We start from the raw sequence: 13499 nt of genomic DNA on the forward strand, positions 1-13499 counted from the left end.
TGAATAAATAAAATAGAACTACACATATAACCCACACCCCTTCAGCATTACTAAGAGTCAGAGAACACTAAAAATTTCCATTATCTGTAAGAGGAGAAAAAATTAAATTCTAGCTTTTGTCTGGACCTCTTGCCTCAAGACTGTGTAAAAGAGAGGACAGAAGCTGGGCCTAAGAGCTGAGCCCACCTACCAGCCCATTTCCCACTCTGGAAGTGAGGAGGCCTCCCTGCTGGAGGTGTCTGCAGATGCTGGGTCTGAGAACAAAGTCTGGCTACTGCCCACCCTGGCAGTAACAGTAACTAGATTTACCTAGAAACAGGGGTCTCAAAGCATAACACCAATATGTGTAGGCTACAATGGAAAATAACCCTTCATACCAAGATCCAGGAAATTCTCAAAAGAGAAAAGACAGTCAACAGATGCCAATATTGAGATGACACACATATTGGAATTATCTGACAAGGACTTGATAAGATTTTAAAGTAACTATCATAAAAATGCACTGGTGAACAATTATGAACACATTTGAAACAAATTTAAAGTGGGAATTCTCAGCAAAAAAACCCGACATGATAGAAGGGGGAAAAAAAAATAAATGAACCCAAAGATACATCAATAGAAATCATCCAAACTGAATAACAGAAAAAAAAAAAGATTAAACAGAAATTAACTCTCAGGAACTTCCAGCACAATAACAATAGATCTAATATTTGTGTCTTCAGAGACCCTACAAGGAAAGGCGGAGCTGAAAAAAATATGAAGAAATATGTTCCAAATTTGGCAAAATAGATAAGTCTAGAATCAGATTAAAAAATGGGAGGTTGAGGCAAGAAGAGAAAATAGAATAAGCTCATGCATCATTGCACAGGTAAGAGACAGAAGTAAAAAAATATATCATTTAAAACTGTCAAAACAGATAGTAAGAGAGCATTAAAAAGGTGTAAGAATAAAGGTAACCACTAGAACAAAAATACAAACTTCCCCAAATACCAAAAGAAAATTGAGAAAGACAAAAGTATGCTTAGCAGAGAAAAAAAAAAACACAGGGACATTATTTCACAAAATGACAGTTCAAATCAATCTATCAACCTATGTGAATGGGCCTAACTAACCTATTAAAAAAAAAAAAAGATTTTCAAATTGGCCCTGGCTCTCAAAACAAAACCCAATTCCACGCTGTATACAAGAGACACACATAAAACAAAGAATTTGGAAAGGCTAAAAATAAAGGGATGAGCAAAAGTATGCCAAGTAAATGATAAAAAGAAAGCTGAGGTTGTAACCCTGTTAAAAGACGACCAGTAGAATTTAATCTAAAAAGAATTACAAAGAAAAAAGGATACTTTACAAAGTTAAATCCCACAATTTATCATGAAAATACAACAGTTATAAACATCTATTAACCAAATAGCCCTGCAATCACTGTTTTAAAGCAGAGAATAAACACACACACACACACACACACAAATATATGTAAAAACATACTAATAATAGGAGGTTTTAACATACTACTGTCATATGAGGGAAGTCAAATAGGCAAAAAATAAAGGTATAACTCTTATGAATATATATTGAACTTTATACCCTGATAATGGCAACTACAACTTGCACATGTACAAATATCATATTAGGTTCAAAGAAAACATCAATAAATTACCTAAGTCAGAAACATTATAAGCCTATCACAAGGCAAAAAACTTATACATTAATAAAATGAAAACCAAAAAGGCTTTTCTATATAGAAATTTAATAGCCTTATATTAAACAGCTCTTAGGTGAAACACACACACACACACACACACACACACACACACACACACAAAACAGAAAAACCCAACAACAAAATTTCTATTTTTCTTTTCTTTTTGAGACAGAGTCTCACTCTGTCACCCCGGCTGGGGTGTAGTAGCACAATCTTGGCTCTCTGCAATCTCTGCCTCCTAAGTTCAAGTGATTCTCCTGCCTCAGTGCCCCATGTAGCTGGGATTACAGGCGCGTGCCATCACAGTCAGCTAATTTTTGTGTTTTTAGTAGAAATGGGGTTTCACCATGTTGGCCAGGCTGGTCTCAAACTCCTGACCTCAGGTGATCCACCCGCCTCAGCCTCCCAAAGTGCTGGGATTACAGGCATGAGCCAAAACGCCTGGCCTAAACTCAACAAAATTTCTAAAAAGTTAAAACAAAAATGCCACACATCAGAATCTATGACATTTATTTAAAACAGTGATTAAAGGAAAATTCATAGCCTTAAAAATTTATACAAATTTGTCTGAACCCATAGAATGCACAACAGCAAGAGTGAGTGAACAACAGTGTAAACTACGGATTTTGGGTGATTATGATGAGTCAATGAAAAATACAAAAGTAATGAGATAAAGAATAGAAAAATCATAGATCTAACTAATAAACTGAAACCCTGGTTCTCTGAAAAAAACAAAAAACAAACAAAAAAACAACTAAGAAAAAGTCCTACCTAACTTAATTAGAAAAGAGCAGGGAGGGGGCACAAATACACAAAATCAGAAATGATAAAATAACCCTTAAAATAATAAATTAGAACAAAAAACTACCCTGCACACTTTAATGCAAGTAAACATAGATGCAATGAATAATTTACTAGAACAATAGTTTATAAAAACTGACCTTCTTTAGAAAGAGTGCTTAAACAAGCCAACTTCCATATCAAAAATAAAGAAAATTATCATGAAACTAACTCCACAAAAAAGTACCAAATCCCCAAAGGATTTAAGAGGGAAACTATCAAATCTTCAAAGGTCAGACAGACTTGATGCTATATAAATTGTTCCAGAGTACAGAAAATGAAGGAAGCATAACATTAACACCTCAACTTTAATAAAACAATAGAAGTATAAAACTTAATACATCATGATTATAGCACCATTAACTAATGGTATTAACATAATTAAATTTAATATTAATATTTGTAATTAATGTAAATTATTGCCTAATAAATTGAACAAAAGCTAAACTGCAAACCAATATCACTTACGTGAATGCTGATGTAAAAATCTGAAATAAAATATTATTAACAGAATCACATACTACATTGAGAAACTAACATATAATGATCAAGTGAGATGATTCAAAGAATGCAAGGATGGTTCAATTTTTAAAAATATCATTAATATAAGTTTTATTAATAGATTTAAGGAGAAAATAATAGAATTTTCTCTACAGACACTGAAAAATTCATTACATTTTTTCAGTGTCCTTGATAGAACACCCAAAAAAGGAATGTATAGATATTTCTCTAACATAAAACATCTATAGTTCAGACAAAATGTAGATACAATTAAAAAAAATTGATGAATTTGATTATATACAAAAAGTTCACATGGCAAAACATCATAGTCAAAGACAAAAGACAAACTAGGGAAGTATTTTAAGTATGGCAGAACTAATATCCTTAATATATAAAGAACTCTTAAAACCTAAGAAAAAGACCAAAAATCCTACAGAAAAACAGACATTAAATATGACTAGTCTGTTCGCAAAGATACAAATTAAAATGGCCCTTAAACAAATGAAATAATGTTCAACGTCATTCATAAAAAGTAAAATGCAAATTAAAACTGAGATACTGTTTCTCACCTATCAGATGAGCAAAAATTTTAAATGTGACAACACACTCTATTGGCAAGGATACTGAGAAAGTCACTTTCACTTTTGAATGCATACTGCATACACTACATAATAGATAAAGGAGTCGAAAAATGTCATTTAAAACTATCAAAACAGTAAAAAAGAAAAGATATAAGAATAAGGGCAACCACAATAAAGGCAACCACTAGAACAAGAATACAAACCTTCCCAGATACCAAGGCAAAATGGCACAACCCTTACAGCAGGGAATTTGGCAGTATGCAACGAAATTACAAATGCATTTACTCTTTGACCCAGCAATCCTGCTTCTAAGAATATACCCTGAAGATATACCTCCAATAATATGAAAACACACAATAGTCATTGGTATAATACTTTTACATTTGCAAAATTCAGGAAATGGCCTAAATGCCTATCCATAATAGTGTGTTTAAATAAACTGTGTCCACAAAACAGAATCCTGTGCAAAACAACATGATGCCTTAAGATGTTTCTCCATTACATGGTCACTACTATTAGCAGAAAACTATTTTTTTTTCTAACTAATATAATAATGAAATTGTAGACTGAGCTCAACTAATGGTTTTCAGTGGGGTCTCCATGACAATATCTCAAAGGCTGGGAGAAGATAAGCTACAGCTGGGTGTTAGGCACCCTGAAACTGCAAATACTTGTAGTCTCTAATTTTTTATTTTTAGAGATGAGGTCCCAGTATGTTGCCTAGGCTGGGCTTGAACTCCTGGGCTCAAGCGATTTTCTTGCCTTTGATCTATATTAGCCTTTGAGCTATCAACCTAAAAAAAAAATTTGACCATTTATTCTCTGGCTCCTTATCTACTACATAAAAAGGGTATGTAGTTCTTTAGACAAGACTATATGATCTAGAACCTATTAAATCTCTGCCTTATTTTTTCCCCACTATTTGTTCCACATTTTATGCTTCTATCACACTTTAATTTTATTTAATTATTTTTTTTTAACACAGCATCTCGCTCTGTTGCCCACGTGGGAGTGCAGTGGCGTGATCTCGGTTCATTGCAACCTCCACCTCCCCGACTCAAGCGATTCTCCTGCCCCAGCCTCCCAAGTAGCTGGGATTACAGGCACGCATCATGATGCCCAGCTAATTTTTGTATTTTTAGTAGAGACGGGGTTTTGCTATGTTGGCCAGGCTGGTCTCAACTCCTGACCTCAAGTGATCCACTGTCCTCAGCCTTCCAAAGTGCTAGGATTACAAATATGAGCCACCGTGCCCAGCCATCATCATACTACTTTTAAAAACTCCTTTGTTGGTTCTTCTTCCCTTGCTGCCATTCCTGAAACGCCAGGAATTCCTAAGTTACATTTTTAGCCCTCCTTCCGAAATACAGCCTCCTCCAGGTGATCTCATTCAATGCCCAGGTTTTCATCAATCCCTTAAATACTGACGAATCCAAAATCTGTATTGTCTTTTGCTTTTGGAAAATACCGCCACTGAGGAACAACAAGTTCCAAGTTCTACTCACTTTATTTCCTAACACTCAAAGTTTTTTCTCCCTTAACGATTCCTATTATTGCAATTTAGTAATAGTCCATGCCTTCATCAACTTCCCTAAACCTATTATGATAGCAAAATACATCTACCTACAGTCAAACTTTCCCTACTTCAAACCTTCCATATTTGTGTTATTTGTCTGTTACAGATAATTTTATCTGTATAAAACAAATATCATTTCTCGATTTAAAAAATCTACAATGACTCTGCAGTCATTACAAGATAAACTTAAAACTCTTTAATATAGAATCAAAAACTCATATAAAAAATTAGCAGGGAGTGGTGGCATGCACTGTAATCCCAGCTACTGGAGAGGCTGAGGCAGGAGAATTCCTTCAACTCGGGAGGCGGAGGTTGCAGTGAGCCTAGATCGCGCCACTGCACTCCAGCCTGGGTGACAGAGCAAGACTCCATCTCGGAAAAAAAAGAAAAAAAAAAAAAAAAGAATCAAAGACTCTGCAAATTAACTCCTTAGCGAACGTATTAGGTTATTATCTACATGTATTCTCTTAAACCTCCATGTATTCTTGAGTTCTTAATATCTTCCCCCGTGTTCTTGAAATGACTTTCTCTCAACCTGTGAAAATCCTATTCATCCTAGTTATATGACATGAGACAAATTACTTAAGTACCTCTGCTTCTTTTACAACGTTTGTAGATGATGGAGATAATGAGAGTACCAATCTCACAAGAATTTTGTAAGAATTAAATGGGTTAACATAGCAAAAGTGCTTAAAACAGTGCCTGGCAGATTTTAAACTCAATAAATGGTAACTATGAACACTATAATCTTTGACTCTGTCCCCACTTCTGTCTCCTTATAATGCTCGTCTCAAATGTTACTTTGTCAACGAAGCTTTCTGCTTCGCTAGCAAAATTATCTGTGCTTCCATAATAAAGCACTTTGGTCACTGCTCTATCTTACCTTTTTTCTTGTTGGCTTTCATACCATGTTTTATGTTTATGTGCTTATGGTATGATTTTTTTTTTCACTGTGAGCCTATGGATTATACTGAATATGTGATCATGGTATGAAAAAGCACAGGCCTTGGACCTGGCTTCAGTTCTCAGGTATGGCTCTCATTCATTGCATGACCTTAGAAAGATTATTTAACTTTACCGAGTTTCAATCTCTGTATTTGTAAAATAGAAGAATAAAACTTATCTTACAAGGATACTGGTAAGATAAAAGGAGTCTACAGAGAGATCCAGCACAGCAATTTCTTGACATAAGTTCTTTCCTTTTAACTCTTTTTACATCTTTAATGTTAAGGTCTTAGAAGGCATGGTCTCTTTATGTCTTATCACTGAGTGTACAATTCATGGCACAATTCTGGCTTTAAGTGGAATAATTTGTGAGTGTTTGCTAAACTTGACTAATATACCTGTAACTACAGTACACTGCCACTTTAATACCCCAGCTTTCACATAAACACAACCAACAGATGGTGAAAGCTTTTATTTGCCTATAATTAATTCTATAATGTTCTGGGGGAAAGTCCTGAGGCAAACAGCAGATATTTTGCTTATTCCCCTTTTAATCTTTGCTGTCAGAAAGCTTACAACTAAACTTACCTTTCAACAGCAACAACTAAACTTCTGTATAAATTTTACTTTTTCCTTTACAGATATTATCTTATATGTCTTTTGTTAAGTCACTTTATATCCATTTTGGAAATAAGACGGCATATAAACATGTTTTACTTCATTTTAATGACATTTTAGGCTGTGTCAAACACGAAGTGACTTTAGCTACCTTTAAAAGATTCCATCCTGAGAGCTTAAAATCTGCAAATGAGCTAGAGTAATGTGATACAATTTTTATATACAAATTATATTGCCTTGTGAGAAAGGTAAGCAAAGATGTATTTCTTTGTCCCAATGATAAATTACACACAATTCACAATTCTGCCACACATATACACATATGTATGTACATGTTATGTGTATGTAGATAAAGATTACAAAAACACAAATATACAACAAATCAGAAAGAGATGTTAGTTAGAATAAAAGAAACTGGATCAACACTAGTCACCGAAATTTATCCACTGTTTTACTCCATGGAAAAGTAACAATTTACCTTACTGCATTTAGGAGAATTTTCAGATTGCCTAGATAGTATCAAACTTGCCAGAACGTTGACAGTAAATGCTTCACTAAATCTGAATATAATGAAAAAAAATCACCTAAAAATGCCTTGCATTTAAAACTATATATTCTTCTATACTATATCTAAAAAGACTGTAGCATAAAAAGGCAGCATGGTTTTGTGACAAGTACCCAAGACCTGTTATGAGAAGACTTTAATTTGAATATTGACTCTGACCCTTACTAGCTCTTCCACTTTAGATAAGTCATTTAATCTCTCTCTGAGAGTCCGTTTCTTCTTATTCTATAAAATGGGGGGAATAATATCTAGCCTATCTGTTGTAAGAACCAGTGAGATTTTTTTTAAAAAGTAAGGTGTTTCATGAGGTTTTACCGCTTTACAAATATTAAGGTTTAAAAACACTACTTAATAATGACAGAAATAAACTACATATGCAGTAATTTCTCAAAAGTGAGCATTTTTGCTGTCTGGCTGTTACTGCTTACAGATTTAAGCTATAAACCTAATTTAAGCTTAATCCTATTTCTGAAAACTGTAAATACGTTGTAGAAACTTGACAAGTTGATAAAATGTATGCTGACACTTACATAAAAACCCTTTCTGTCCCATCAAGAGCAAAATCCCACATTTAAGCTGCTTCTTAACTTACGTTTATATCTGTATGGTATATGAGGACACATAAAGCTGGCAAAATCTGAGGAAAGAAAATAAACAATACTTAACATTAGTTAATTAATATGTCTGTAAAAATGAACAACTTTGACATAAAAAGCGGTAAATATGGTTTGTAGGGCGAGAAAGACAATGTTAAATTTGTCTGAATATCTTTTAGGAAAATGAAAACCTGATAAATTCAATCTAAAAAAACCAAAAACATATCTCAAATGTTAAACTGAAATATGTTCAATTAACAAGTTAAAATATCCAAATAAATCTGGCAGAAGTTAATGTACCTTAAAATAAAAACATTTGTTTTTAATAACCTTCTTTATGGCATAAAATGTCAAGTGGAAAAAATGGAGATGCAAATATACAGTTACAGCTATTTAAGAAAAGCTACACTTAAAACTGCCGTAATTGTCTCACTTACCTGCTTAACGTAAAAATACGATTTTACTTAATAAGCTACTTAAGTCAAATTAAAGTTTTCAACTTCACCTTTAGTCAAGAAAATTCGAACCAGTACAAAGTACAAAGCTTTGCTTGTTAAATTCAGGCCCCAGAGATCTCTTTTTAAAATATGGGAGAAAGGGAGCAGGGGGTTGTAGGAAATCACACAAAATACCTTTGCATAGCAACAAAAAGTAGCAGGTACTAGAGAAAGATGTCCATTATAAAGATACACAGTTGGCCAAGTGTGGTGGCTCATGCTTGTAATCCCACCACTTTGGGAGGGTGAGGTGGGTGGACTGCTTGATGCCAGGAGTTCAAGACCAGCTGGCCAACATGGTGAAAACCCATTTCTACTAAAAATACAAAAATTAGCCTGGCATGGTGGCACATGCCTGAGACATGAGAATCGCTTGAACCCCGGATGTGGAGGCTGCAGTGGGCAAAGATTGTGCCACTGCACTCCAGCCTGGGAAACAGAGCGAGACTGTCTCAAAAAAAAAAAAAAAAAAAAGAGATAACACAGTCAACAGTGAATAAAGGTTATGTAGGATTTTTTTTTAAAATGCAAAGCACAAGGATCTATTTACATATCAAATGTAAATAAAAAAGTTTTTACTTTGTTTTAATTAGTAGATTTAACAAAAAATATGTCACACTTTTAAGAACTCCAATTTTGTCAGTAATAAATTGGAGTTAGGCCGTGGGGGCAGTGGCTCACACCTGTAATCCCAGCACTTTGGGATACTGAGGTGAGCAGATCACTTCAGGTCAGGAGTTTGAGACCAGCCTGGCCTACACAGTGAAACCCCATCTCTACTAAAAATACAAAAACTAGCCGGGTGTGGTGGCGCTGGCCTGTAATCCCAGCTACTCAGGAGGCTGAGGCACGAGACTCGCTTGAACCCAGGAGGCAGAGGCTGCAGTGAGCTGAGATCATGCCACTGCACTCCAGCCTGGGCAATAGAACAAGACTGTCTCAAAAGAAGAAGAAGAAGAAAAAAAATCAATTGGACTTAAAGCAAACTCATTCAAGAACATTTGCATGTAAGTATACTAGTTTTGCCTGTAGCAACCCCCTTTTATAGCTTTAAACCAACAATGCAATACAGTAATAAAACTTTGAGATTGTTTTCCTTTTGTATTTTTCTCTCTGAATTTTTATATTTTCTTTTTATGCAGATAATCAAAAAAATAGGCATTAGGATGAACTGACATTCTTTCAGGTACAGTAAGACACTCAACTTTTATTTCATAGGAGTAATTAAATATGGTACGTTACTTTTAAAATCTTACACCTGTGGCTGGGCGTGGTGGCTCAGGCCTGTCATCCCAGCACTTTGGGAGGCCGAGGCGGGCAGATCACGAGGTCAGGAGGTCGAGACCATCCTGGCTAACATGGTGAAACCCCGTCTGTACTAAAAATACAAAAAAATTAGCCAGGCGTGGTGGCGGGTGCCTGTAGTCCCAGCTACTCAGGAGGCTGAGGCAGGAGAATGGCGTGAACCCAGGAAGTGGAGCTTGCCGTGAGCCAAGATCGCGCCACTGCACTCCAGCCTGGGCGACAGAGCAAGACTCCGTTATCAAACAAACAAACAAACAAAAAACTCACACCTGCAATGAAATCAGTATATGTATTATTTTGTCCCCTGTATATGAATTCCTGAAGTACAAACATAGGGAAAATATACCATCTGGCCTTTACAATTCTTCATTTACCTCCTGAACTGTCTCCATAGGCGGCGGGGGATCCTTATTCCTGCAGAGATTGACAATGACCCATGTGACGTTCCGAAGGAAGGTGATGGGGATGGAGGGACTGATGAAGGACAGAAGAGGTTTGACAACTCCCAGTGATATGACATAATCTCTACATTGAGGACCATCACCTACAGAAATGAAAATTATATTTAAAAAAAACTTACATTCAGGATGAGAAAGTCTGAAATGTATGCAATGGCTCATGTGGGAACACTGACGTTCTATGTTTCCTCACCATTAGTCAAAGGCATCAAGTGTTGTTTCTCCAGATTTTGATCTGGGGAACGTAAATTTAACCTACCAATGCTAACAGCAAACTGTATATCCTTTTCAAAGAGCATCATCTTAAGTCAGTACTTATGAGGCAAGAAGAGAGTCAACACACATTAAATTCAGAGGAAACATAGTATGTAATGGCTATGCCAATGTAGGAAAAAAGTTAATTTAGATTCTTAAGAGGATTCCTTTCAAACCACTTACCTATAATGTTTCCCAAAGCCCATACTGCTTGTTCACAAACATTCTGATGTGGTGAACGAAGAAGTCTCAGAAAAAGAGGTACTGCATCTGTAATAAAGAAAAACTAATATTTATACTAGCAACATGTTGAAGAGTTTACAGATTTCAGATCAAAGAAATTGATCAAATACACAGCCTGGCATATTGTAGCTGGAAGAACAAATGTGGCAAATATCTTTACCCTAAAAAGAATCAATTTCAGTATTTTCCCCTAGTAATAGTCAAGTACCGTAACCAACTGGCAGTATCTAAAGGTTGCTATCATACCATTAACTAAAAGAAAGCAACAGCATGAAATCCTTCCTATAATCCATTAAAAAAAAAAAAAAAAAAAAAAGAGTTCCTACCCCAAACATGTAACCTTAAAATGTAATGCTTTAGTCTACAAAATCTCAATTCCTGATACGGGGATTAACCAAAGAACTGATTAATCTCATATCAGGTCTATCTTATACTTTAAAATAATTTCTCATAATCCTTACTCTTTACAGAATGTATACATTATACCCATTTCCAGCATAAGCTAGATCACTTTTTAAAAATTTCAATCAACTGTGCACTACCTCATTTTTTTTTTTTTGCTGTATCTGTGTATTACTTGTATTATTTACTTAAAATTTAAATTAATTCAGTTTTAACAACTTTACGGAGATATAATTACAATAAATTTACATTTAAGTGTGTAATTCAATGACATTTCATATTTATACAGAGTTGTGAGGACATCGCCACAATCTAATTTTATAACATTTCCAGGACCTCAAAAGAAATCTTGGCTGGGTATGATGGCTCATGCCTGTAATCCTAACACTCTGGGAGGCCGAGGCAGATGGATCACCAGGTCAGGAGTTCAAGACCAGCCTGGCCAAGATGGTGAAACCCTGTCTCTACTAAAAATATAAAAATTAGCCGGGCGTGGTGGTGGGCGCCTGTAATCCCAGCTACTTTGGAGGCTGAGGCAGAGAACTGCTTGAACCAGGGAGACGGAGGTTGCAGTGAGCCAAGATCGTGCCACTGCACTCCAGCCTGGGTGACAGAGCAAGACTCTGTCTCAAAAAAAAAAAATATCATACTCAGCCGGGCACAGTGGCTCACACCTATAATCTCAGCACTTTGGGAAGCGAGGCGGGCAGATCACGAGGTCAAGAGGTTGAGACCATCCTGGCCAACATAGTGAAACCCCGTCTCTACTAAAAATACAAAAATTAGCTGGACATGGTGGTGTGTGCCTGTAGTCCCAGCTACTTGGGAGGGTGAGGCAGGAGAATTGCTTGAACCCAGGAGACGGAAGTTGCAGTGAGCTGAGATCACGCCACTGCACTCCAGCCTGGCGACAGAGCGAGACTCCGTCTTAAAAAAAAAAAAAAAAGAAAAGAAAAAAGAAAAAAGAAATCTCATACTTAAGGCAGTCATTCCACATTTGTTCCTCTGCCACACATTCCCCAAGCGGCAGGCAACCATTAAATATCTGCTTTCTGTCTTTACAGATTTGCCTATTCTGGACATTTCATACAAATGAAATCATACTGTGTTTTTTGGGGGGTCTGACTTCACTTAACATTCTTCAGGTTCATCCATGTGGTAACAGGTATTGGTACTTCATTCTTTTTTACTGCTGAATTGTATTCCATTGTATACACCACATTCACTTTATCCACTCCTCGGTTAATGAACATTTGGGTTAGTTATGAATAACATTGCTGTGAATATTTATGTACAAGTGTTTGTATGAATATGTTTTCATATCTCTTGGTTTCACCTAGGAGTAGAACTGCTGGGTCACATGATAACTTTTTTTTTTTTTTTGAGGTGGAGTCTCGCTTTGTCACCCAGGCTGGAGTGCAGCGGCACGATCTCGGCTCACTGCAAGCTCCGCCTCCCGGGTTCACGCCATTCTCCCGCCTCAGCCTCCCAAGCAGCTGGGACTACAGGCGCCCGCCACCATGCCCGGCTAATTTTGTTTTTGTATTTTTAGTAGAGACAGGGTTTCACCATGTTAGCAAGGATGGTCTTGATCTCCTGACCTCGTGATCCACCCGCCTCGGCCTCCCAAAGTGCTGGGATTACAGGCTTGAGCCACTGCACCCAGCCTTTGTTTTTGAGATAGGGTCTCACTCTGTCGCCGGGGCTGGAATGCAGTGTGCAGTCTCGGCTCACTGCAACCTCTGCCTCCCTGGCTCAAGCGATCCTCTCGCCTCTGTCTCCTGAGTAGGTGCGACTATAGGCATGCGCCACCATGCAATGCTAATTTTTAAATATTTTGTAGAGACACGATTTTGTCATGTCACCTAGGCTGTTCTTGAACTCCTGAACTCAAGTGATCTGCTTGCCTTAGCCTCCCAAAGTGCTGGGATTAGAGGCATGAGCCACCTGTGGGTCTGGTGAGAATAGTATTCTCAATACATGATTCAATGTAACTTACTGCCATATCACATGCTACTTAAAATCACCTTGATTACCACACCTAAAATTAGCTAAGTGTCCCATACTATAATAACGTACGTGGTGATATCTAGTACTTTTCTAAAGAGCTTGTGTCAGTGTCATTTAACAATAATTATTAGCCCATCTTGAGGAAAGTAAAATTTAAAATATGTCATAAGCTAAAAGGCAGAAGCCATTCAGCATCTTGAAGATATCAGAAACGGAATTTAAAATCCTGTTATCACAGCATGATGTCTACTCCAAAAGATAAAACTCTACTCTTCTTTTAATAACCACAATTAAAAATTTTTCATGATAAATTAATGACGGCTATGAAAAAGATATCGGTCATCAAAAGTAACTTATAAAAGTCATCATTTAAAAAATGTTACAAGATAAAATTTCTTTATTACA

The 13499-nt window shown here is 36.4% G+C and overlaps 1 protein-coding gene across 2 annotated transcripts in view, besides 1 other annotated feature; it reads right to left on the bottom strand.

The window, feature by feature from the left end:
- The window catches only part of KPNA3 (karyopherin subunit alpha 3), a 93363-nt gene that overhangs the window by 12535 nt on the left and 67329 nt on the right, over positions 1-13499 (bottom strand). For both annotated transcript variants that reach the window (NM_002267.4, XM_017020561.2), the window contains exons 8-10: positions 10623-10709; positions 10101-10270; positions 7921-7965 (exon numbers count right to left, since the gene is read on the bottom strand). In NM_002267.4, coding sequence (NP_002258.2) covers positions 7921-7965; positions 10101-10270; positions 10623-10709 — 302 coding nt within the window. The remainder of the gene's footprint in view (positions 1-7920; positions 7966-10100; positions 10271-10622; positions 10710-13499) is intronic.
- Positions 12685-13185: an enhancer, noted in NCBI's record as "H3K4me1 hESC enhancer chr13:50298675-50299175 (GRCh37/hg19 assembly coordinates)". NCBI's record gives its function as "activates a minimal SCP1, AML or CMV promoter by ChIP-STARR-seq in primed H9 embryonic stem cells {active_cell/tissue: H9 hESC(primed)}" and the evidence as "EXISTENCE:reporter gene assay evidence [ECO:0000049][PMID:30033119]".

Source organism: Homo sapiens, chromosome 13 (assembly GCF_000001405.40).
Source record: "Homo sapiens chromosome 13, GRCh38.p14 Primary Assembly".
In the NCBI taxonomy this organism is placed as follows: Eukaryota; Metazoa; Chordata; class Mammalia; order Primates; family Hominidae; genus Homo; species Homo sapiens.